The sequence below is a fragment of the Homo sapiens genome, chromosome 9, assembly GCF_000001405.40.
Source record: "Homo sapiens chromosome 9, GRCh38.p14 Primary Assembly".
NCBI classification, from domain to species: domain Eukaryota; kingdom Metazoa; phylum Chordata; class Mammalia; order Primates; family Hominidae; genus Homo; species Homo sapiens.
In genome coordinates, this window is record NC_000009.12 from 113406330 (window position 1) to 113429690 (window position 23361).

General features: G+C 44.0%; 2 protein-coding genes across 13 annotated transcripts, besides 6 other annotated features; one reads left to right on the forward strand and one right to left on the reverse strand.

Moving 5' to 3' along the window:
- On the reverse strand, positions 906-4420 carry POLE3 (DNA polymerase epsilon 3, accessory subunit). Of its 3 annotated transcripts, none has more exons than NM_001278255.1 (5): positions 4288-4420; positions 3899-4049; positions 3726-3811; positions 3281-3399; positions 906-2654 (listed from the first exon to the last, which is right to left on the reverse strand). In NM_001278255.1, exons 2-5 carry the CDS (start codon positions 3962-3964, stop codon positions 2482-2484), a joined length of 444 nt encoding a protein of 147 aa, NP_001265184.1. In that variant the 5' UTR covers positions 3965-4049; positions 4288-4420; the 3' UTR covers positions 906-2481. The 3 variants fall into 3 exon arrangements, with proteins under 3 accessions (NP_001265184.1, NP_059139.3, NP_001420648.1); NM_017443.5 differs by having other exon boundaries at positions 3899-4079; positions 4288-4346; NM_001433719.1 differs by lacking the exon at positions 4288-4420 and having other exon boundaries at positions 3899-4045.
- Positions 3144-4343: an enhancer, noted in NCBI's record as "CDK7 strongly-dependent group 2 enhancer chr9:116171753-116172952 (GRCh37/hg19 assembly coordinates)". NCBI's record gives its function as "activates an origin of replication core promoter dependent on BRD2, BRD4, P300/CBP, MED14 and CDK7 cofactors, with strong dependence on CDK7, by STARR-seq in HCT116 cells {active_cell/tissue: HCT116}" and the evidence as "EXISTENCE:reporter gene assay evidence [ECO:0000049][PMID:35650434]".
- Positions 3144-4427: a biological region, named in NCBI's record as "CDK7 strongly-dependent group 2 enhancer GRCh37_chr9:116171753-116172952".
- Positions 3246-4145: an enhancer, noted in NCBI's record as "NANOG-H3K27ac-H3K4me1 hESC enhancer chr9:116171855-116172754 (GRCh37/hg19 assembly coordinates)". NCBI's record gives its function as "activates a minimal SCP1, AML or CMV promoter by ChIP-STARR-seq in naive H9 embryonic stem cells {active_cell/tissue: H9 hESC(naive)}" and the evidence as "EXISTENCE:reporter gene assay evidence [ECO:0000049][PMID:30033119]".
- Positions 3718-3997: an enhancer, noted in NCBI's record as "active region_28838". NCBI's record gives its function as "activates an Ori minimal core promoter by ATAC-STARR-seq in GM12878 lymphoblastoid cells {active_cell/tissue: GM12878}" and the evidence as "EXISTENCE:reporter gene assay evidence [ECO:0000049][PMID:35858748]".
- Positions 4238-4427: an enhancer, noted in NCBI's record as "active region_28839". NCBI's record gives its function as "activates an Ori minimal core promoter by ATAC-STARR-seq in GM12878 lymphoblastoid cells {active_cell/tissue: GM12878}" and the evidence as "EXISTENCE:reporter gene assay evidence [ECO:0000049][PMID:35858748]".
- On the forward strand, positions 4418-23361 carry C9orf43 (chromosome 9 open reading frame 43). Of its 10 annotated transcripts, none has more exons than XR_007061270.1 (14): positions 4418-4672; positions 7116-7315; positions 7430-7565; positions 12779-12836; positions 14774-14874; positions 16220-16256; positions 16997-17169; positions 17837-17987; positions 18690-18747; positions 19015-19091; positions 19314-19401; positions 21818-21894; positions 22561-22634; positions 22843-23361. XR_007061270.1 is itself a non-coding variant. In XM_024447490.2 (14 exons), exons 2-14 carry the CDS (start codon positions 7165-7167, stop codon positions 23055-23057), a joined length of 1386 nt encoding a protein of 461 aa, XP_024303258.1. In that variant the 5' UTR covers positions 4418-4809; positions 7101-7164; the 3' UTR covers positions 23058-23361. The 10 variants fall into 10 exon arrangements, 9 of the variants coding, with proteins under 9 accessions (XP_024303258.1, NP_689999.1, XP_024303259.1 ...); XM_024447490.2 differs by having other exon boundaries at positions 4418-4809; positions 7101-7315; positions 22571-22634; NM_152786.3 differs by having other exon boundaries at positions 4418-4809; positions 22571-22634.
- Positions 5046-5945: an enhancer, noted in NCBI's record as "H3K27ac-H3K4me1 hESC enhancer chr9:116173655-116174554 (GRCh37/hg19 assembly coordinates)". NCBI's record gives its function as "activates a minimal SCP1, AML or CMV promoter by ChIP-STARR-seq in primed H9 embryonic stem cells {active_cell/tissue: H9 hESC(primed)}" and the evidence as "EXISTENCE:reporter gene assay evidence [ECO:0000049][PMID:30033119]".

The window sequence follows — 23361 nt, forward strand, 5'->3', positions numbered from 1 at the left end:
GAAAGCAGTTAGTGCCAGACACAGTAGGGGGCTCAATAAATGAAGCTGCTGAGAATCTAGTATGTATAAGGGTGCCCAGCACATCCATGAAAAGCTCTTGCACCGGCCAGGCATGGTGGCTCACCCCTGTAATCCCAGCACTTTCGGAGGCCGAGGCAGGCGAATCATGAGGTCAGGAGATCGAAACCATCCTGGCTAACACAGTGAAACCCCATCTCTACTAAAAATACAAAAACAAAATTAGCCAGGCATGGTGGCGAGTGCCTGTAGTCCCAGCTACTAGGGAGGCTGAGGCAGGAGAATGGCGTGAACCCTGGAGGCAGAGCTTGCAGTGAGCCGTGATCATGCCACTGCACTCCAGCCTGGGAGACAGAGTGAGGCTCCGTCTACAAAAAAAAAAAGCTCTTTCAGCAGGTGTGTTGGCTCACGCCTGTAATCCCAGCACTTTGGGAGGCTGAGGTGGGTGGATCACCTGAGGTCAGGAGTTTCAGACTAGCCTAGCCAACATGGTGAAACCCTGTCTCCACTAAAAATATAAAAATTAGCTGGGCATGGTGGTGGGTGCCTGTAATCCCAGCTACCTGGGAGGCTGAGGCAGGAGAATTGCTTGAACCTGGGAGGCGGAGGTTGCAGTGAGCCGAGATCATGCCACTGCACTCCAGCCTGGGCGACAGATTGAGACTCTGTCTCAAAAAAAACAAAACAAAACAAAACAAATGCTCTTGCAGTAGTTCAGAGCCCTTGCCTGTGAATGAGCAGCACCTGCTGGTCATCCAAGGCGATGCAGTATCTCATGTTTACAAAGGTCTGGCCAGGACCACACGCCAAAAACTGCATGGAGAGTATCATCAGGGGCTCTCTCCAAAAACACACTGTGAACAAGCAGCATGAAACAGGAGGCATCATTTTTTAACAAGACTTTTATTTGTACAAAGCATTACAATCTTCTCAGCATTCTTCACTCACAAACTTTTCACTGTATTTAACAAGTTAACAGTGTCAAACTACACGTCACTACCTGTCAAACCCCAAGCACTCAACTTAGAAACAAAAAGCGCTTGGAGCACTGAATGGAAACAGAAAAAGGCTAAGAAAGGCCAACAGAGATATTTTAGAAGCAGTTAAAGAGGATGGTTTAGGGAGAGTTAGATTCCTGAGCACCATCAGATTTCCCTTAAGGTTTTTTGTGAAGGGGCTTCACAAAATAATTTTTAGAAGACATGAGACAAAATTAGCCAGGCTTGGTGGCACGCATCTGTAGTCCCAGATACTCAGGAGGCTCAGGCGGGAGGATCACCTGAGCCCAGGATTTCAAGGATGCAATGAGCTATGATCATGCCACTGCACTCCAGCCTGGGCCACAGAGTGAGAGACTCCATCTCTTAAAAACAAAACGTGAGATTAGAACTAAGGAATCAAGAGATCAGAGGAACTCACACTTTGGAGTATTAAGCAGGTTATCAAAGCTTACAGACTGACAGAAGTGAGAAAAGGAGGCAGATGAGAAAGTGGGATGGGGAGCAGAGGAGAGGCAGGAGAGAGAAAGGAAGCAGGAGGCACAGAGGGAGAAAGCTGTGCCTAGAGAAAATCAAGTTTGGCACTCGTCATGAATTGAAGAATGAAAAGCCATAGTCACAAGTCTGGGAGATGGACTACAAGAAGAGGAAGCCTGGGGTTTTACACCTTCCGGGAGGTGATGACAAATCCTAAAGCTGTACAGTAGCAGAGAGTAAGGTACATCTGACACTATGCCATCTGTTTTTGTAAAAGACACTGGCACCATGTTTGACTAATACCATTCCACACTGCTGATTTAAGAATATCTGTGATCAGATTACTACCACACCAGCAGGCCGATCATCTACAGGCAATATAGAAAGGTTTTGGGCCAAGTGGGTCTATGAAAAACAAAATTCAGTTAATGCTTCTGTCAAGTGAAGAGAGAGAACGGATTTTGTTATTCTCCCACAGCATTTTAGTAGTTTCCTAAAGCTTACTCATTCTGAGCAGTCTTAGTAAGCTACTATTGTCAAAGACTGTGCAATCAAACATAGGCTGACCATAAGCAAAGCCCCAGTTTTTCCTGAGCCTTGGCTGCCTCTGTGATCTGGAACACAGCAGGCAGCATGGAAGTTATTATTACTTATTTGGGGGACTAGGGAAGACTGCAGATCAAAAACCATCTAACCATACATTTAAGTAAACAAAAGCGAGCAAACTGACTAATTTAGTCGTTCAGAATCCCTCTTGTCAAAAGGCCATAACCTTCAGATTGATGAAGCAAAACAGGATTCTGCTACTCAGATGCTCTGAGTTTGGTAAGTGCTGGTTTTGACGGTATTTCTAGTCAGTTTTTATTCTGATCTTTTCAGGCACTTTTGCCTGAGACTACTCTGCCCAGCATGGAAAAGCTTCACAGAAACACGTAGCACGTCTCATTTCAAGTGGTACCTTCCAAGGTGCCACAGTCTCCCGCCCTTTTCAGTTGTCTACTTCTTCCTCTTCATTCTGTTCTTCTTCTTCCAGCCTTTCTTCGTCTTCATCATTGTCCTCATCCCTGCTCTTGTCTTGCTCTTCCGAGTCTGTTTTTTTGTCTTTGTCCTTCTTCTTTTGCTCTGAGGCCTCCTTCTTGCCTTTCTGCTCCCGCCTATATGCTGTAAGGACGGAACAAGGGGTTAGGAGACAGAGCTGAAAGTGAGCCAGACGGACTGCAGGAGCTAATTACATTGTACAATTGGAAAAACGGAGGCAGATGGGCGCGGTGGCTCACGCCTGTAATCCCAGCACTTTGGGAGGCTGAGACGGGCGGATCACCTGAGGTCAGGAGTTCAAGACCAGCCTGGCCAATATGGTGAAACCCCGTCTCTACAAAAATAAAAAATGAGCCGCACGTGGTGGCGTGCGCCTGTAGTCCCAGCTACTCGGGAGGCTGAGGCAGGAGAATTGCTTGAACCCAGGAGGAGGAGACTGCGGTGAGCTGAGATCCCATCACTGCACTCCAGCTTGGGTGACAGAGCAAGACTCCGTCTCAAAAAAAAAAAAAAAAAAACAAAAACAAGAAAAGCAAGACAAAAACAAAAACGGAGGCAGAGAAGGAAAAATAACTTGCTCAGCATTACAAAACAGATCTGAGGTGGTGCCCACCGAACTGGGTCGAGTCACATCAAGTGCTGGCTTACTGGACTTAAAGGGACCCGCGCTGAGAAGGCTCAGGGCCTGGTGAACAGGTCACACAGGATGACCATCTTCTATGTGGTTTAGAAGACAAGAGGCTCGTTACCTTCCAGAGCTTCTTTCAATGGGGTAACGAACCGCTGGAACTCCATCTCTTCCATGGCTGAGAGCACATCACTGGCATTCAGCGTCTTCCGCTTTCCTTTCATTGCAAAGTTGTTAGCACTGAGAGAAGAGAAAGGCTGTCAGACTCCCTCTTGTTTGTAAGGCGTGAGTGGGAAAAGGAGCACCCAGAGGTGGAACGGGAAAGCCTGCCTCTTACATGTATGGATTTTGGTGTGACAGGGATAAGTCCTTCCCTTCTCTGCACAAAAAAGCTAAAGCAAAGTGATTTTGTTGTGTTATTTTGCTTCAGAACTTGTAAAAACTGGCAGAGGACTGTGAACATGTCCCCACCGAGGGAGAACACAATCGTTGGGGTTTGTAGGCTCCCAGCCAGCAACTCCCAGCCAGGTATCCCCGCGCCTCCCTTATGCCTCTGTCCCGCTCACCAGGATGTGGCGTACAGCACGAAGACGCTGGCGGCGCGGGAGATGGCGCTCCGGGCCTCCTTGGAGATGTTGACACCGTCCGGGAGCTGCGAGGAGACCGGGGGTGAGCAAAGCTGCCGTTCCAGCACCTGCTTCCCTCCTGCCCGTTCGTCCGCCCCCCCCGAGCTGCTCACCGCCTCCTTGATGATCCTGGTGATCACGGCATTGGGCAGGTTTAGGTCCTCGGGCCTCTCCGCCATTGCCGCCGCTGGGGCTTAAACTCCCCTTCGCCTCCGCTTCAGGGAGCTACTGCGTCCGGACTTCCCGCGTCGCTACGGTCTGACCCTGCGAGGTTTCCGTTCCGCCCCACGTGGCCTACAGTGTCCCACAGTGCTCTGAGCGCCATAGCCTCCCTCCTCCCCCCACAGCCCCGCCTCCGCCTCAAATACCGGCGCATCCGGATTTTGAAGCCGCAGTGGTTTTGGCCCGCCAAGGCTTCCATCCAACCCTACCGCACCCCGCACGCCCCTCCCCAGGTCCATTTCTCTGCTTCTCGCCATCGCCGCGTCGGGAACCTTCTCACCAACTTATTTGGCTCAATGGAGCTTCCGTCCGTTTCCCATGGTGCCCTGCGCCGCTGCTGGGTGACGGCGCGGCCGGGCGCAGCGCGTGGGAGACGAAGGCGTGGCTGACTCGGCGGGGCGGATCCCTTTAGGACCCGAGGCAGGCTCTGGGCCCGCCGGGTCCGTTAATCTCACCGCGCCGCAAGGGGCCACGTTTTACCACTTGATTTAGCAACCCTAAGCGGTTTGGAATCTGCTTTGCTCTCACAGGACCTCAGCCCGTCGTGATCAGATTCTCCCACTTTCTTTTTTCTTTCCTGGAATGGAGTGGGCAGTCTTTTTCCATCTCTACCGAAGTTGATGTTCATTTTTAATCTTTTCGCCCCTCACGCTTTTGTAATAATGGTACTAAGACTGAGTGTTATTTAGATTTTATTGTTGTTGTTTGTGTTTAACGCGAACTATTTAGGCAGCCCAGGGATAATGCTGGCCATATAGAGATGCGCCTGATTAGGTCTCAGGAGTCAATTCGGACTGGGCAGGTAACGAAAGGGCGAGAAGCAGCCTTTTCACTGTATGAAGAATGCAACGTCACATTCGCTTTCAAAAACAAACCGTGTTAAAATTGTATTTATTTTTCAGTTAAATTGTTCATCATACATTTTTTCCAGTTAAAACCATTCTCAAGGTTTTGCAATGGCGTTTCTTTTTTTTTTTTTTTGAGACAGTCTCACTCTGTCGCCCAGGTTGGAGTGCAGTGGCGCCGATTTCGGCTCACTGCAAGCTCCGCCTCCCGGGTTCACGCCATTCTCCTACCTCAGCCTCCTTAGTAGCTGGGACTACAGACGCCCGCCACCACGCCCGGCTAATTTTTTTGTATTTTTAGTAGAGACAGGGTTTCACCGTGTTAGCCAAGATGGTCTCGATCTCCTGACCTCGTGATCCGCCCGCCTCGGTCTCCCAAAGTGCAGGGATTACAGGCGCCAGTCACCGCGCCCGGCGCAATGGTGTTTTAAGTTGTTTTTAAGTTATTTTTATATTAAGTTCGTAGAAATTCTCACTCCCACTGATTTTATTTATTTTTTAATTTTTAAAATTTCTTGACAGGGTCTCACTCCGTCCCCCAGGCTGGAGTGCAGCGGCACGGTCTCGGCTCACTGTAGCCTCGACCTCCCTGGCTCAGGTGGTCCTCCCACCTCAGCCCCAAATAGCTGGGGCTACAGGTGCGTTCCATCACACCCAGCTAATTTTTTGTATTTTTCGTAGAGACAGGGTTTCACCATGTTGCCCAGGCTGGTCTCGAACTCCAGGGCTCAAGTGATTCTCCCTCGGCCTTGCAAAGTGCTGAGATTACAGGCATGAGCCACGGCGCCCAGCCTCCCACTGAGAATTAATGCTGCTTTTTTTTCCCGTCAAGCATGCAGTCCCAAGTCGCCCTGTAGTTTTCCTGCTTTCGATAGAAGCCTGATTATAGAGAAATATTTTAAAACAAAAGAGCAAATGCTATGATAAATGGCAACTGAAAGTGTTTCAATTAGAGACCATAAGGTCTGGTGGGGGAACTCCGCTTGGATAGAACAGACCTGGCTGAAACCATCAGGGCTGCTCAGCGCTAGTCAGTTGCTCTTCAACTGGAATTGGGCTCAGTGTTGTCAAGTATTTTGGTCCCTAAAAGGACATTGTGGGCTATTTCAATTTTAAAATTGATTCAAATTTAAAATTGATTCAAAGTGCTAGCCAAACAAAACAAGTAATAGGCCAGGTGCAATCCCAGGCTGATAGTTTATCTTTGATCTAAATTATGAAACTGTTTAGAACAGGGAGTTTGTTTATTACTGTTCATGTCCAAAGCAGGTCCCCTCACATATTTAGTAATCAATAAATGTGTTGAATAAAAGAAAGAAATGGACACTGTCCTTAAAAAGTTCTTAGGAATAAGGTGGTAGTTAGTGATTGCCTAAAACACCTCTAGAAAGGAAAAGATGATAATATTTATTGAACACCTCCCATGAATAAAAGTACATTATCTCATTTAATGCTTCTGCAGTCCTACTTAGGGATTCCCTGCCTTCTGCTTATGTTATTTATTATTTTTTGTGGAGAGGGGGTAACTCATCTTGGCCTACCAAAGTGCTGTGGTTACAGACCTGAGACACCAAGTCAGGACCCCTCCCCCTACTTGAGAGAGAGGTGTGAAGACCCTTGTCAAAGGCCATATGGCCAATGAATGAAAAGCTAATGGCCTCTGATGCAACTAGCAGTGTCTAGTGATTTGCTATTTGAGCAAACACATTCATTGCTGGTGGGTATTTTATCTGCCTGCATGGGAACTGAAGCACATTGAAAAATGAAACATGTCTTCCAGAAGTTTGGGCCTTCTAAGACACTTCTGTGACTACTTTGGTCATAATTTGATAATGCTTTTTGGAGATGGTGGCATCTTCTCCCTGATGACTAACGAAGGGGAAAAGGAAAGGATGCAAATATTTATTTGGAACAATATGCCAGGCTTTTAATATCCATTAACTAATTTTTATAATGACCCTGTGAAATAAGCTTATCCTCATTTTACAGTGGAGGCAACAGGCTCAGACTGGTTAAGTCCCAGGTCACTCAGCTATTAAATAGCCAATTAGGAGACCTGAAGTCCTGCTCTCAAACTCTTGCCATTCTACTTTATGCTGAGCTATTTTCATACTTGCTTGTTATCCAATCTTTAATTATTTTGTGGCCATCATTTACCTATATAGGTTCAATAGAAATATTTTATACTGTGAGTTCAAATTAACATCTGGACTGTATGGCTAATGTATAATACTCCCTAATTATGTAGCTGTTGATTTTCCAGAGCACTAGAATGCTGCAGGGTTGGCCTTTGGCCTAAACCATTTCTAGCTATGGACTTGCCAGATGAGAGCCAGTGGGACGAAACCACCTGTGGCTTGGCTGTTTGTCAGCACCCACAATGCTGGGCAACTATCCGCCGCATTGAGAGGGGCCATCCTCGAATCCTCGGCTCATCCTGCAAAACTCCCCTGGATGCTGAAGGTGAATTAGCCAGCTTCTGTCCTCTCCCTCACGAGGTCCTTAACGTATTTATGTATGTGGCTCCCTTTCTCCAGGCAGCAGGTTAACATGTTTTCTTCTGGTCTGCCTTCTTAGATAAACTCCCAGTGCTCACCGTGGTAGACATCTTAGATTCCGGCTTTGCAGCTCATCATTTACCAGAATGTACCTTTACTAAGGCCCATTCTTTATTGTCTCAGAGTTCAAAGTTTTACTCCAAATTTCATGGCAGGTAAATTATCATGGAATCTTCCTTTACAGCCTATTGTCTCAAAATTCTGGATTATGATTTTCCTTATCCATTAGTATACTTTGAGAAAGCTAGATTAAAAAGAAAATACCAATTGGGTTAAAGAAGTGGTGAATAGGCAGTGGGAAACAGAAAGAAACCCTTCCTGCTTGTGCCCTAGGAATTGGTTAATTTGGGAGGTATATTGGTTCGGTAGGGCTGTTATAACAAAATACCATAGACTGGGTGCCTTAAACAACAAAATTTATTTTCTTGTAATTCTTGAGGCTAGAAGTCCAATATCAAGGTGTTGCCAAGACTGTTTGCTTTTGAGACCACTCTTGGTTTGTAGATGGTAATTTTTTATACCCTGTGTCCTTTTTATTTATTTTTTTTGAGACAGGGTCTCACCCTGTCACCCAGGCTGGACTAGAGTGCAATGGTGCGATCATAGCTCACTGCAGCCTCAACTTTCTGGGCTCAAGCGATCCTCCCACCTCAGCCTCCCAAGTAGCTAGGACTACAAGTGTGCACCACCACGCCTGGTTAATTTTTTTTTTTTTTTTTACTTTTATTAGAGACGAGGTCTTGCTTTGTTGCCTGGGCCGGTCTTGAACTCCTGGCCTCAAGTGATCCTCCTGCCTTGGCCTCCCAAATTGTTGGGATTACAGGCATGAGACACCATACTGAGCCCCTCTCCCTATGTGTTAACATGGTCTTCCCTCTGTGCGTCTGTGTCTTAATTTCTTCTTACAAGGACACCAGTCTTACTGGGTTAGGGCCCCCTCATGTGACTTCATTTTTACCTTAATAACTTTTTAAAAAACCATATCTCCAAATACAGTCAAATTCTGAAGTACTAGTTGGGACTTTAACGATGAATTTTGGGAGGACACAATTCAGCCCATCTTATCAGCATCTGTATGTACGGACAGAAAACCATCCATATATGCCATCTTTCTTTTTTCTTTTTTGAGACAGAGTCTCACTCTGTCACCCAGGTTGGAGTGCAATGGCACGACCTCTGTCTCCCAGGTTCAAGCAATTCTCATGCCTCAGCCTCCCGAGTATCTGGAATTACAGGCGTGCACCACCATGCGTGGCTGATTTTTATATTTTTAGTAGAGACAGAGTTTCACCATGTTGGCCAGGCTGGTCTCAAACTCGTGACCTCAAGTGATCCACCCGCCTCAGCCTCCCAAAGTGCTAGAATTACAGGTGTGAGCCACCATGCCCAACCCTGTCTTTCTATTTCCTTTTTTTTTGGTGGGGGATAGGGTCTTACTTTGTTGCCTAGCCTGGAGTACAGTGTCGTGATCTCGGCTCACTGCAACCTCCACCTCCTGGGTTCGAGTGATTCTCTAGCCTCAGCCTCTCAAATAGCTGGGACCACAGGCACGCGCCACCACTCCCGGCTAATTTTTGGATTTTTTGTATAGACAGGTTTTCGCCATGTTTGCCCAGGCTGGTCTTGAACTCGTGAGCTGAAATGAATTGTGTGCTTAAAAATGGCTAAAATGGTCAATTTTTGTTATGTATATATTTACCACAGTAAAAAACTCATATCCTTGTATTTTCATATCACTTGCTGTTTGTCTTATTTTTAAAAAGACGTGTTACATGCATGGATGAATGAATAATGTAAAGGGGTTATCCTGTAATCCCAGAGTGTTAGGATTACAGGCGTGAGCCACCATGCCCGGCCCCTGTCTTTCTATAATAATATTTTATTTTTAGGTATGAAACTATTTGTAAGCTCCTAAAGGAAAAAGCAGTGCCTTTTTTTTTTCTTTTCTTGAGTCTCCTACAATGTCTGTGTACCCAATGAGTGCTTGCTGGTACATGAAACAAAGGGACAGGTATCTGTGGAAAACTTAGACTTAAAAAATTCGAAGACTTTGTTACCTGGAATAAAGCACCAGTGGTGGCTCTCATAGTATTTTCTTTTCTCCTGTTCCATTTAAGTAGCCCTTAATGATTTCTCTTTGGCTAACAATAGTATAGGAAGAGGTGTGACTATTTTCATGTTCTCTAGGACTTTAACTCTGGTTAGACAGCGGTGTTTCTCAGTCAGGACCTATGATATGCTTCATATTCATACCCAGGGACACACTCCGCCCCTGCCATGCCCGCCATGTATAGCGCAGAGCTGTGAGAGAGCTGCCTCCTCTAGTCATTTCCCTGTTTACACGCCTTCTTCCTTCAGTGTGTCTTGCTTTCTGCTTCACACTCTCTGTCGGAGACCAGTCCTTCATGACATGGTGGGTTTTTGCAGTGGCTTCTGAACTGGTTTCCCTGCCTTTTCTCCTCGAAGCTATTTTACATATGGCCAACAGATTAATCTTCCAAAAATATTGCTTTGTTCATTTCCTTGCTTGAAAAGCCCCTTTATCAGAACTTTGTTTACTAGAGAACAGACTCAAACCTCCCAACTCTAGACTGGTGGCCTCTCTCTTTACTGTCTGGCTCCTCTAATCAGAGTCTTCTCTTCTTGAACACCAACTTTTCCTCTGTGTGAGACTGGTTTTCTGATTGTGCTTTTCTGTCATGCAGTTTCCTAAACCTTAAAGGCCCTCTTCCTTCCTGTCACTTCATTAAGTCCCTTTCCTGGCCTGTAAGGCCCTACGAGATCTGGCCTTCCTACTGGACCTCATCTCGCATTTCTCCCTTCCTTGTTGAGTAGGCTGCAGCTGCACTGCTCTTTCAATTCCTCATCTATGCCACACCTCCCACCCCAGGGCTAATGGCCCTACTGTTTCTTCTGAGTAGAACACTTTTTCTCTTAACTAGGTTTTTTTTTTTGTTCTTTTGTTTTTTGTTTTTAAAACACTATTGACATTTTGGACCAGATAATTCTTTGTCCTTTGGGGCTGTCTTATTTTAGCTACTTCCCTGGCCTGTACCCATTGAATACTAATAGTACCCTACCTCCAGTTATGACAACCAGAAATGCCTCCAGACATTACCAGATGTCCCCTCGGGGCAAAATTGCCCCCTTGTTGAGAAATACTGCCCTAGATCCTTCCATCTAATTCCTTTTGGTCATTTGAGTTTAAGCTTAAATGTTGCTTTTTCACAGAAGTCTTCCTCAACCAGTCTATTTAAAATTTCCTTACACCCTCATTGTCATTTAACCAAGCATCATTTTTCTTCAGTTCTTCTGACCTGAAATGATTTTTTTGATTTGTTTGCCGCCTCTCATGAGAATGTCAGTCCCTACAAGAGCAGGGACCATATGTTTCTTTTGTTGGCTGCTCTGTCTCCTATGTCTTCAACAATGCATGGCAAGTAGTGGAAACATAATAAGTATTTGTTGATTGAGAGAATATGGTCCTTTTCTTCTGTCAAGGTTGAGTTTCCTCATTTCCCACTAGCCTCTGATACTCTCTCTTCCAAACTACCCCCAGTACTTCAGTCCCTGACATGCTTATTGATATTTTTATGTTTATCTCCTGTTTGTCCAACTGGATTTTAGGCCCTTTGAAAGCAGGGACCATGACATTTGTTTAGTCATTCAATTCACAACTGTATTTTAGTGCGGGCCACTGTGATGAATGCTGGGATACAATAGTAAACAACATACAGTCTTTATCCTCAAGGGACTTTCAGCCTAGTTGGGGAGGCAAAGAAATAAGCAGTCCGTATGATGAGTGTCATGAGAGGACCGCCCCCTGGTGTGTGGAAACACCAGAAAGGGTTCCCAAGTCAGGGCACTGTCTTCTGTGTAAGTGGCATCTGTGCCTAGACTGGAAGTCTGAGCAGTCTAGTGAAATGGGGGTTGTAGGTGGGAGGTTGGCAGGAAGCGAGTTCTAAACCATAGGAATAGCATATGCAAAGGCTTGGAGGCAAGAGGAAATTGTGTCTGTATCAGGAAAATAGTTCATTGTGCCTAGAACATAGAGCAGGAATGGAAGAGTGGTCAGAGATGAGGCTGGGGAGCTGCAGTAGAAACAGGAAGCAGGAGTCTGTGTCATGTAGGACTTCATAAAGCAGGCTGAGTGTTAGGTCTTTATCTTTTTTTTGTTTTTAAATTCCACTATCATTCCTAAAGATCTTTATCATTTACCCCTTTACATTATTCATTCATTCATGCATGTAACATGTCTTTTAAAAAATAAGAAAAATAGCAAGTGATATGAAAACATAAGGATATGAGTTTTTTACTGTGGTAAATATATACATAATAAAAATTGACCATTTTAGCCATTTTTAAGCATACAATTCATTGGCATTAAGTACATTCACAGTGTTGTACATCCATCAGCACTATCCATTTCCAGAATGTTTTCATCATGTCAAACAAAAACTGTATCCATTAACAGCAACTCCCCATTCCCTCCTCTTCCCAGTCCCTGGTAATATCTATTCTATTTTCTGTCTTTATGAACTTGCCTGTTCTAAATACCTCATGTAAGTGGAATTACACAACATTTGTCCTTTTGTGTCTGGCTTATTTCACATAGTATAATGTTTCCAGTGTTGTAGTATATACTGTAGTCCCCCCTTATTTTCAGGAAATATATTCTCAGACCCCCAGTGGATGCCTGAAACTGTGAAAGTACCAAACCCTATATTTACTATGTTGTTACGTATACATACATACCAATGGTAAAGTTTAATTTATAAGTTAGGCACAGTAAGAGATTAACAACAATAAGATAGAACAATTAAAATATACTGTGATGAAAACTCATGGTGTGAATATCGTCCTTGTGGTCTCTCTCTCTCTCTCAAAATACCTTAGTTATAGGTGCTCACCTATTTTCAGACCATAGTTGACTGTGGGTAAGTGAAACCATGGATAAAGGACTACTGTATCAGAATTTCATGACTTTTAAAAGCTGAATGATATTCTATTGTATGTATATACCGCATTTTATTTATGTAACGTATTTTGAACATCTACATCAAAGTACTTAATATTAACTTTCATTGATGGTGATATAACTGTCTCTAGCTGGAGAGAAGAGTAGGCTATGAATTCTGTTTGATGGAACAAATAGTTGTGAAGTATTTGCAGTGTGCAATGTCTGTTAAGGAGCTGTTCCGGGAAAAACAAACAAAACTTAAGGATATGGTGAGATCCTACATTCATTTGGTAAGCATTAAGCCCAAGGTTTTCTGTAGATAAGTAGAAGGATTTCCTCATAGCACTAACGTTATCATTCCAATAAGTCTTTTGTATTTCTGTTTTATGTGTGGAACTCATTTTTTAGGCCTCCGAAGGGTTTACCTGACAAAAGTTTGATCAACTGTACTAACAGACTTCCCAAAGTAAGTCATAGATTTTAAAAGTACTTCTTCAACATTTTTTCTTTACTAGTGGAAATAAACTATTCTGCCTTTATTTGAAATTATTCCTCAGGAGGACTAAAATCTGAATAGTAATGTTGATAGTAACCATCTAATATTGGGCCCTTCCTGTATGCTAGACTCTGTGCTATCTACATGCCATATTGTTTTCAGAAATCCTAGAAGCCAGTGGGATCTATTTGTATGGGTTTGGCGTAGGTGAGAATTTTCTGTCTCTATCCTGCATAGAACATGTTCAGCTACTCAGTAAATACTGTCGTCTCATAATCAGGGAAACTGGAATGCTGGAATGGCAGACCCAGGTAGGCCTTAAGATCATCTCATCTGATAACTTACAAAGTGTTTAGCTATGATCTACAGTAAGAAATAGATTTTACAACAAAAATACCATGGAACAATCCTTACCCTAACTATGCACTCTAATATTTTCTGCCCTATTCTGTTTTATTCTATTTCATTTTTAAACAATGTGGTCTGTGATTCAAAAAATTTGATTTTATGACCTATGAATAAGTTGCAATTGCAGTTTGAAGAACACTATAATGGTTTGATAGACCACAGCCTATCTTATATATCTTGCAGGTGAGGAAACTGAGATGGGTAGTGATTAGCTAAAGCACACAGCTAGTTAGGGGTAGAGCTAAATTAGAAATTTAGGAAGAAAAAACCCTCCTACTTAACTATGGTAAAGAGAGATTTACTATTCTTTGCAGTACTACTGGATGCCTTTTATTTTTTTCTTGAGATGCTTCACTTTTCAATATCATGTGTAGTGGAGCGTATAAGGAACTGAGATGGTAGATGGTTTTGAATGGATGAATTGACTAATCACTTTACCTCTTTGACTTCTTTAGAACAAGAGGATTAGATTAAATAATAATAACAACAATAATAATTATTATTTTAAGAGACAGGGTCTTTCTCTGTCACCCAGGCTGGAGTGCAGTGGTATGATCATGGCTCATTGTAGCCTCAAACTCCTGGGTTCAAACCATCCTCCTGTCTCAGACCCCTGAGTAACTGAGACTACAGGCACACACCACCACACTTGGCTAATTAAAAACTTTTTGTAGAAACAGGGTCTCACTATGTTGCCCAGGCTGGTCTCAAACTCCCAGCCTCAAGCAATCCTCCTACCTCTGTCTACCAAAGTGCATGAGTTGTCATGCCTGGCCGAGATTAAATTATTTTAAGTTAATTATTTGAAGAGATAATGTATGAACATGATTTTTAAATTCAAAAAGCATTAAAGGATTTATAATAAAAAGGAATCTCTCCTATTACCTCCAAGTCCATCAGTTTGTCTTCACAGGGACAACCTTATTTTGAATAGTTTTTTCGTGTGTGTATCTTACCAGGAATATGGACTAGGTGATTTATAAGATTTCCTTGAGCACTATGTTCTAGGATCCTAAATAGCTAAATGTGAGAAGAGTTAGCCTTTGACTTTTATATAAATGCCTATAATTGTAGTCAGACTGTAAAAGAAAACACCTTGCTTCTGTTTCTATCAGTTCTCTTCCTGCTCCCAAACTGCAGATTGTAATGTCTGTGGGATCTAAGTCTTTGGAGTGGAGTGGGCAGGATAAGTAATGTTCCTGTAGGTAAGCCCCAGGGCACCCTCATATGGGATTGGATTGGGAGTTGCTAAATGCTACCCTAATGGCACAGGGAAGCAGGGGAGATTATCTGCTTATTAATACTCACTCTTGCAGATACCTATACTGATATTTGATGGAGTAGTCTGTTTTTTTTGGGAGAATATTATGAAGATATCTTGAAGATGGGAAACTTAAAATCATCTTCTGTGCCACCAGACTCTTTGCTTAGCATATCCTTAATCTGATATAGGAGCTTAGCACCTCAAGCCATACATAGGCTTTATATCTTTCTCTTAGTTTCCAGTGTTGAATTTGAATGAGACGCAACTTCCCTGCCCTGAAGATGTTAGAAATATGGTTGTATTGTGGATCCCAGAAGAAACAGAGATACATGTGAGGTGAGTATCATATCTGGAACTCAGAGGACTTTGACTCTATAAATCCCTGATGTCTTCTGCAGCGTCCTTTTTGTGATCTCCCATTTAGCCAGCTCATTGCAAGTAGCAGGAGGCCAAGCAGAGAAGGTCGTGGTCTGTTGCATCTGCCTTTTGCTACACTGGAATTTTAATGTAATGCATTTTGAGATTCATGCTGTGGGACTTCTCCATATCAAATTTTACACGGCAGTAAATAGCATACAAGATAGGGCTCAACTTACTTATAAGGCTTGACTAAGAAATAAATGCTCTCTCTTAGTTTTTCTTATTAGCCACTTGCAACAAGTGAAAAAGTTCTCAGTGAAGCATGTGAATCTCTGTTCTCAACCCCAGGGCCTAGTACAGTGTACAAAAGCAATAGCATATAGGACTTGTGTACAAAAGAGTGTGACAAAGACCATTTGGTGAAGGCCCAAAGGCTTGCTAATATTGACAACCATGGGGAAAGTGTTTGGTTCTTCTTTCCTGATCCTTGAGGCTTTCAGGTTCTTAAGTGACATTTAGAGATGATGAAACTTAAGAATTTCTTTTTATTTCTTTTGTTTTTCTTTTTAAAAAATAATCCTGTGAGTGCTTCTCTCTATATATATGCATTTGTGTGTGTGTATATATGGTATAAACAAATGAAAAACAACCCTAAGGGTTTATTTCCTTTCGTGTGAAAGAAGCTCAGAAGTAGGCAGGCTAGGTCATGTGAGCTCCATGAGATAATTAGAAACCAGGGCTCCTTCTAGCTTTTTGGGCCGTCATCCTTAGCCCATGGATTCCAACTTCTAAGGAGTTTCATGGCTGCTTTTAAGGTATAAGTTGGCTACTAGAGATCCAGCTATCATATCCACGTCCCAGGCAAGGAGGAAGAGGTCAGAGCAAAAAATACTTCTTACCAAACATCTCTGTGTCAAGCAGTGAGGATTTAGTGAACCAAATAGATTTGGTCCCTGTCCTGTTGGAGCCTTGTCAGGGGGAGTCAGCCATTACAGACATAACCACACCTACATATATCATTTCTAATTTGGATTCATGCTATGAAAGTAGGTAACCGGATTGCCTGAGAGAATAATGGGAAACCTAATTTAGATATGAGGATGGGGGGTCTTTTTAGCAGAAGGTACTTGGGCAGCAGTTACTGCTGGGTTCCCAACCAGCTATCTTTGAGTACTGATCAAAGATAGGAATCTTTGTGGTCATCATTCACAAATATCCTTGGAGCTTCTGTTTAAGATATCTGGGAATAAGTTGTGCTTACTCTTATTTCAAGTCCAGCTGAGAAGCATGTTTTGTTTTGTTTTGTTTTGTTTTTCTCCAGCCAGCATGGGAAGAAGAAAAGAAAGAACTCGGCAGTGGTGAGTTTGATGTTTTTGTGCAAACCTTTATAATATTGCTATGTAGAGTTTATTTTGTTTTCCTTTCAGGTCTCCTCCACCTTACCCCCGTTCTTTCCTGAAATGATCCAAATCTGCTAAAGAAAACCCTTCTTTAGGAATAATTAACCAAACCATTCTCTATTCAGAGACTCCTTTTTTCTGTCTCCTTCCTATAGGGAGATGAAGAGCACCTTGAGATAATAGGAGGAACTGTTGCGTGTTCAGGGGGGGAGTTTTTGGTCAATTAAAAACGAATCCCCAACGTGATCATATAGAATTTCAATGGACTAGGGGTTATAAGACCTGGGCTTCTAACTCTAATTGTACCATTTATGAGTAAATGTGACCTTGGATAAGTCACTGTAAGACTGCTATGTCCATGAGAGTAGTGTCTTGGTTCATTTTGTTCATTGCTGAATCCCCATCCCTAGCCCTGTGCCTGACACATAATTAGACAATAAATTTTTGTTCAGTTTGTTGAGTGAGTAAACGAATGACCTTTCTGGAAAATGAAACAAAACAACGAATCCCTGTATGATCTGAATACAACAACAGAGTTGGGAGCTTGAGAGGGAAACATGTGGCGGCCCTCATCGTTCAGAGGAGGCAACCATGGCTGGAGTACATGCCAGGGTAGTGTTGAGAGGCTAGAATGTTGATGGAAAGGACTAGGCTAAAAAGAATGCTTTGGAGAATTCTTTCCATTGTTTCTCTTCCAGAAAAGCAAGTCATTTCTGGGTCTCTCTGGAAATCAGTCCGCAGGAACACGAGTAGGAACACCAGGGATGATCGTGCCTCCCCCAACCCCAGTGCAATTGTCTGAACAATTCAGTTCAGATTTCCTACCTCTCTGGGCTCAATCCGAAGCGTTACCTCAGGATCTACTGAAGGAGTAAGTATCATGTAGGTCTGTGGGAGAGCCAGAGCACCTGCTTTTTACTGAAGCTGGGATGGGTCTAAACAGTGTGCTTTTTCTGAGTAGGACTGGGAGAAAACTATCACCCCGATTTGTTTACTGAACTCTTGGACTTACCAACAGGCAGGGATGACCATCATAACCACCACCATTTGTCACACTTACCATTTGCCTGGCCCTGTGCTAGGCATATCACATGTACTTTCATTTAAATTTGCACTAGGAGGTAGGCACTATCACTGTCTTCTTTTTATAGGTGAATTATGAATAAGTGGTAGGCAGAATATGTGGTCTGCAGTGAGATGACCTTTGAATTTTACATTGAAACTTAACTGGCTATATGAATTTTGGTAATGTATTTAGCCTCTTAAAGCTTCATTTTCCTCATTTGCAAAGTGGGAGTAATATCTGTTCTCAGGTGTTGTAAAAGCACATGAGCCTGACATAGAATCAGCACTGAGTATATGCAGCTATGATGATCGTAGTTGCATCAGAAAAGTGTTACCAAATGAACACTTGTTGGTACAGGCCTTTTCAGACCCAAAGTGGAAATTTCTTGGAGCCCTTTACATCTCTTTCTCCTCAGCCATGCTTTCCGGGAAGAGCTGTTGCTGACTGTCTGGCTGTCCTCTGTCCCCTTCAGACTTTTGCCAGGTGGAAAGCAAACCATGCTCTGTCCAGAGATGAAGATAAAATTGGCCATGATGAAAAAGAATCTTCCCTTGGAAAAGAACCGACCTGACAGTGTGATTTCTTCTAAGATGTTTCTATCTATACACCGCCTCACCCTGGAAGTAAGAGCTAGGAAACAGCAGGGAAGAAGCCTATGTGAAAATTCAAACCCATCTCTCCTCAAATCTGGAAGAGTTGACATTCTATTCCTTATCTCCCTTCTGCCTTTCCACTCTGAACCCATGCCCCAGAGAAGGCTGGGCTCTATGTATGTAAAAGCCAGTCGATGGGGAAGTGTTGAGAGAGCAATGTTCTCTATTTCTTTCTTTTTTTTTTTTTTTTCTTTTTTGAGAGACTGGGTCTCACTCTGTCACCCAGGGTGTAGTGCAGTGGTTGATCATGGCTCACTGCAGCCTTGACCTGCTGGGATGAAGTCATCCTCCTACCTCAGCCTCCAGAGTAGCTGGGACTACAGGTGTGCGCCACCATGGCTGGCTAATTTTTAATTTTTTGTAGAGACAGGGTCTCACTATGTTGCCTAGGCTGGTTTCGAACTCCTGAGCTCAGGTGATCTGCCCACCTCAGCCTCCCAAAGTGCTGGGATTACAGGCATGAGCCACCATGCCTGGCCATGTTCTCTATTTCTTCTGCACTTTGTTCCCCACACCTTTTCCCTTCCTCCGTAGCCCCTGGTACAATGCTGCAAAACACTGGGTTCTTAAAATGTGCTTGTTGACTGGATGAATAAACGCATTTGGGGGATACATTTGGAGAAAGGGAAAGACCTGCAGTAGAGCTTTTCTTTTTCTTTTTTCTTTCTCCAGAGACCAGCACTGCGATATCCTGAACGTTTGAAGAAATTACATAACCTGAAGACAGAAGGTAGATTTGCTGTTGCTGCTGGATCTCTAAGCACCATTTTCTGTTAGCCCACATTTCTCATACTTTAACGTGGTCCAATTCAGTTATATTTGTGGCCACAGTCATACAGGGTCACATGTAGAACTCAGGAAACAATAGTTTCAGGAAGCAGCCCCTCTGGCTTGGTCCTTACCAGGGAGTCACCATTGTGAAGGAAGGCACAGCAGGCATTCCAGTGGGAGAGAGGGGGCTGTTAGAAGAGGATCAAGCTGGCTCTCTGGTCACCAGGTTACAGGAAACAGCAGCAGCGGCAGCAGCAGCAGCAGCAGCAACAGAAGAAGGTGAAAACACCTATTAAGAAACAGGTAGAGTGGCAGTGAGGGGCTTGCTGGGACTGGGAGAGGTCTACAGCCTGGAATGGGAAGGGATGTATGAAAGGTGGGGGTCTCCTTGTTTTCTATCTGGTTATAGATAAAAAGTTCTTGTCTGGTTGTAGATGTTAAATTCCTTCTTTTTGATATTCCTTTTGAAAAAAGTTTTCTTTACTTCCAAAAATCCTAATTTGTTCCTCCTGATGTGGGTTTCAGGAGGCTAAAAAGAAAGCCAAGAGTGATCCAGGGATCCAGAGCACTTCACATAAACATCCAGTTACCACCGTTCATGACCGTCTCTATGGTAAGGGGAATATATGCTTGGTTGGGGGTGATAGGATCCCTGAGGGGTAGGTATCTGAGGGCAGGAAAAGCTAAACATGCTCTTGTCATTTTGAGACCTGCCTTTGTCAGGCACTCAGAGTTTCTTGGAATGCTTCAGTCTGTCTGGTCTCTCATGCACCATCCTTCCCTCATAAATTTGCTAAACAAACAAGCTGAGCCAGATGTCTGCTTCACATGAGGGCTTGAAAGATGACCATGAACATGAATCCCAGTCATCTTTTCCTCAGGTTCTACCTTAGAAAAGGCAGAGCACTTTGAGGATCAGGAGAGGAACAAGCCCAGGTTACTGAAGAGAAAACCCTGAGGGCCCATTTTCCAATGAGGCAGGGAGAGCTGGGGCCCCTCACTAGAACCCCAAAAGAGTTCTAAGGAAGCAGAGCTCTGGGGCCCCCTAACCTTCCTGCCACAAGGTAGAGAGTCTCTGGAGCCTCACGTTAAAATCAACACATTGTCTAGCCCCATCCAGGAGTCAGGGAGCCAACTCTTGTCAGGCAGTTCTTTTGCTCCAGTGCTCATGCTGGACACAAGAATGGACATCTCCCCTTTTTGGAGTCGTTATTATGTCTGAGCTCAGGCATATACTTACCCCTATCCCTCCAAAATTTTTCAACTTGAGTGGAGAATGGGAGGAGGGAGAAAGAATCCCCCCAAACTTTGGAGGATCGTTGTGCCCGTCTCAGACTGGACATTGCTGACTTTAATATGAAAACAACTGTTTAATCATCAGAAAGAGCTCTCCAATCCTGGGGCACTGGGAGGGCTGAGATGAGGTTTCCTGAGAAGGATGTTGCCCTCTTGCTTTCCTTCCCATCTCACTTAGTTGTCTGATGCCAATGATCTGCTCTAACCTGAAGGTTGGAAGGTTCCTGCCCTTCTTATGGGAGGTGGACAGAATCAGGGCTTGGCCCCGGGCAGGAGGTGATGTATCCAAGGTTAACACTCCATCTAGGGTGACCACTACCACTCCCCTGAATTCCGTTCTGGTGCCTTTTGTACCCCTTCCCAATGCCTCCAATAGGAGCAATTTTGCTTGGGTGACTGGGGTGCCTCTGTGAGTCATGTTCATAGAGCAGTGGCCTGTCCTCACTGAGTTGAGAAAGGCTTTATGGAAGAGATGATTTTTGCATTGAATCTTGAGTATGTGTGGGAGTTTTCCTGATATGGGAAAGAACTCTTGAGAGGGAATAGCCTGTGCAAAGGCATCTAGGAGGATCACAGCTGCTCAGGAAACACTGAGCAGTTGAGTGTGGTTGTGGGGTTGGGTATTTAAGGGAGAGTGGTCTATCACACCAAAGAGGTAGGCAGGGGCTTGTATGGACTGCTAAGTCTTTTGACCTTTATCATCCAGGCCAGTGGTGCTCCGCCTTGACTGTACACTAAGACCAATTGTGAAGCTTTTATTTATTTATTTATTTGAGACGGAGTTTCGCTCTTGTTGCCCAGGCTGGAGTGCCATGGTGTGATCTCGGCTCACCACAACCTCTGCCTTCTGGGTCCAGGTTCAAGCAATTCTCCTGCCTTAGCCTCCCCGGTAGCTGGGATTATAGGCATGCACCACCACGCCTGGCTAAGATTTTGTATTTTTAGTAGAAACGGGGTTTCTCCATGTTGGTCAGGCTGGTCTCGAACTCCCAACCTCAGGTGATCTGCCCGCCTCGGCCTCCCAAAATGTTGGGATTACAGGCGTGAGCCACTGCGCCCAGCCAAGAAGCTTTTAAAACTCTAATACTCAGACTGTGTCCCAGCTATTAAGTCAGAATTTCTGATGGTAGGAACTAGGCCTCAGTGTTTTTTGTTTGTTTGTTTTTTAAAGCTCTTCATTTCTCCCAGTGTACAGCTAAGGTGAGAACCAGTGCTGGTAGGGAGTCCATGGAAATGCTATAATTTAGCATAATACCTCTGGTGGCAGCTTGGAAGATGTTTGTTTAGGGAAAGGGAGATTGAGAAAAGAATGAATGAATCTACCTAGGGACTAGTTGGGGAAGCAGCTGATGCAAAAGAAACATAAAACTAGAGGTTTTTGTTTTTGCTTTGTTTATGGGTACATGAGGGATGGCGCAAGAAGATGAGTCACATTCTGGTAAGAGGAGTATTCATATGCTGTGAAAAAGTAGATTAGGGTTTCTTGGAGGAATCCTGGGTCTTTTAACACACACTTGAGCGTAATCTCTAATTCTGTAATAGATGAAGTTACAGTCCCAGGTGAGCAGAATCTCAAGTAGAACTCAGAAGGTCTAACTACCTTTTACCTGCCATCAAGGTCTTGTCTTTTCCTGGATGCAGAGTCACTTGTAGACTAGGGGTCACCTAGAAGCCCCCAAATAGGGTATGATATGGTAATAAGAGGAAGATTGAATGGACTCTTTGGTTACTAGGTTACAGAACTCTGCCAGGTCAGAACAGTGACATGAAGCAGCAGCAGCAGATGGAAAAAGGAACCACTTCGAAACAGGTGAGAGTGTACCAAGGCCTCTGCTAGGACCCAGTTTCAGTTATCTATTACTATGTAACAACCCCAAAGCTTAACCATAATGATTTGCTATTGCTAATGATTCTGTGGGTTGACTGGACAGTTGTTCTTCTCCTGCTTGAGGTCACTTAATGCAGCTGGGCTGAGGCTGTTGGCCAAGTTGCTGGTTTTCCTTCCTGAGGCCTCTGCATGTGGCTTATTTGGGCTTTTTGATAGCATAGTAGTCTCATGAAAGCAGTTTCATGAAAGCAGTTTCTTAAGGGATGGGCCTGGAACTAAAACAGTGTTACTTGTGCCACATTTTCTTGGCCAAAGAAGCCACAAGTCCATCCCAGAGAGTAAATAAGAGAAGAAATAGGCCCTATCTCCTGATGGGAGGAACAGCATGTGCATACCAGAATGGGAGGAATTGTTGGAAGCCATCTTTGGAGGCCGTCTGCCCTTAGTTGACTGCAGGGAATGGGAAGGAGTGGTTCTAGGTTCATTTGGACAGCATGGAGGGCAAAGAACGTGTGGTAAAAGCTTCTCTTCAGTCCCAAGAGGTGGGTCTCTGGCTCATCTTAGATGTTAATTTCTCCAAGAGAAGCATCTTTTAGAAAAATCCTTTTAGTTTCCTAAAGTCTTGATTCAAATTTCCTTATACCCCAATGAATTTCAGGATTCCACGGAGAGACCAAAGATGAACTACTATGACCATGCGGATTTCCACCACAGTGTAAAAAGTAAGTTACTAGAGTAGAGGAACCTTAGTAAGTGACTGAGGATAGGGAGAGTTGAACCTGTGTTGACCAGGATAGTTTACCTCCCTGAAGGCACAGTTCCTCTATCTCAGAGAAGTCCTAAAAACACCCCATTTTTCCTTTTCTGTCCTCCATTTGTTGTAGTTGAGAGGAGTTTACAGGTGCAATTAATGACTGCATCTTCTTTTAGGTCCTGAATTGTATGAAACAGAACCCACTAACAAGGACATTAGTGCTCCAGTGGACGCTGTGCCAGAAGCCCAGGCTGCCAGGCAAAAGAAGATCTCCTTTAACTTTTCAGAAATTATGGCTAGCACAGGCTGGAACTCTGAGCTCAAACTACTTAGGATTCTTCAGGACACTGATGATGAGGATGAGGAGGACCAGTCCTCTGGGGCAGAGTGAGAAGCCTCTGGAGGAATAGACTGAAGGCATCCCCTGGGGCAGCCGTGTTCCAAAGCGGGATGGCTGGTATCCTGAGGGCAGCAACGTTTCACATAAGGGCAAGAGGAGAGGGGCTTCTGCTCTCTGGAGCCTTTACCAGGGCCTGAGCTCTGAGCTTAGGGATTCCATTTTCTTTGTTCACCTCTACTTGCCTCTAAAATAAATGTAGGAGAAAAATCCCCAGCCTTTTTAAATTTAGATTATTTCCTTTCCATTAGGGTCAGAATAATTTTGGTGATTAAACACAACTGCTTTTCAATCAAAA

What these genes read in the sequence shown, in the direction of transcription:
- C9orf43 (NM_001278630.2), top strand. An exon ending in AAGGAACCACTTCGAAACAG is followed by an intron (nt 21,895 to 22,570) that starts GTGAGAGTGTAC and finishes AATGAATTTCAG; the next exon opens with GATTCCACGGAGAGACCAAA. An exon ending in TTTCCACCACAGTGTAAAAA is followed by an intron (nt 22,635 to 22,842) that starts GTAAGTTACTAG and finishes ATCTTCTTTTAG; the next exon opens with GTCCTGAATTGTATGAAACA.
- POLE3 (NM_001278255.1), bottom strand. Translation starts at nt 3,964, where the DNA reads ATGGCGGAGAGGCCCGAGGACCTAAACCTGCCCAATGCCGTGATCACC. An exon ending in CCAGGATCATCAAGGAGGCG is followed by an intron (nt 3,812 to 3,898) that starts GTGAGCAGCTCG and finishes GTCTCCTCGCAG; the next exon opens with CTCCCGGACGGTGTCAACAT. An exon ending in ATTGAAAGAAGCTCTGGAAG is followed by an intron (nt 2,655 to 3,280) that starts GTAACGAGCCTC and finishes CCGTCCTTACAG; the next exon opens with CATATAGGCGGGAGCAGAAA.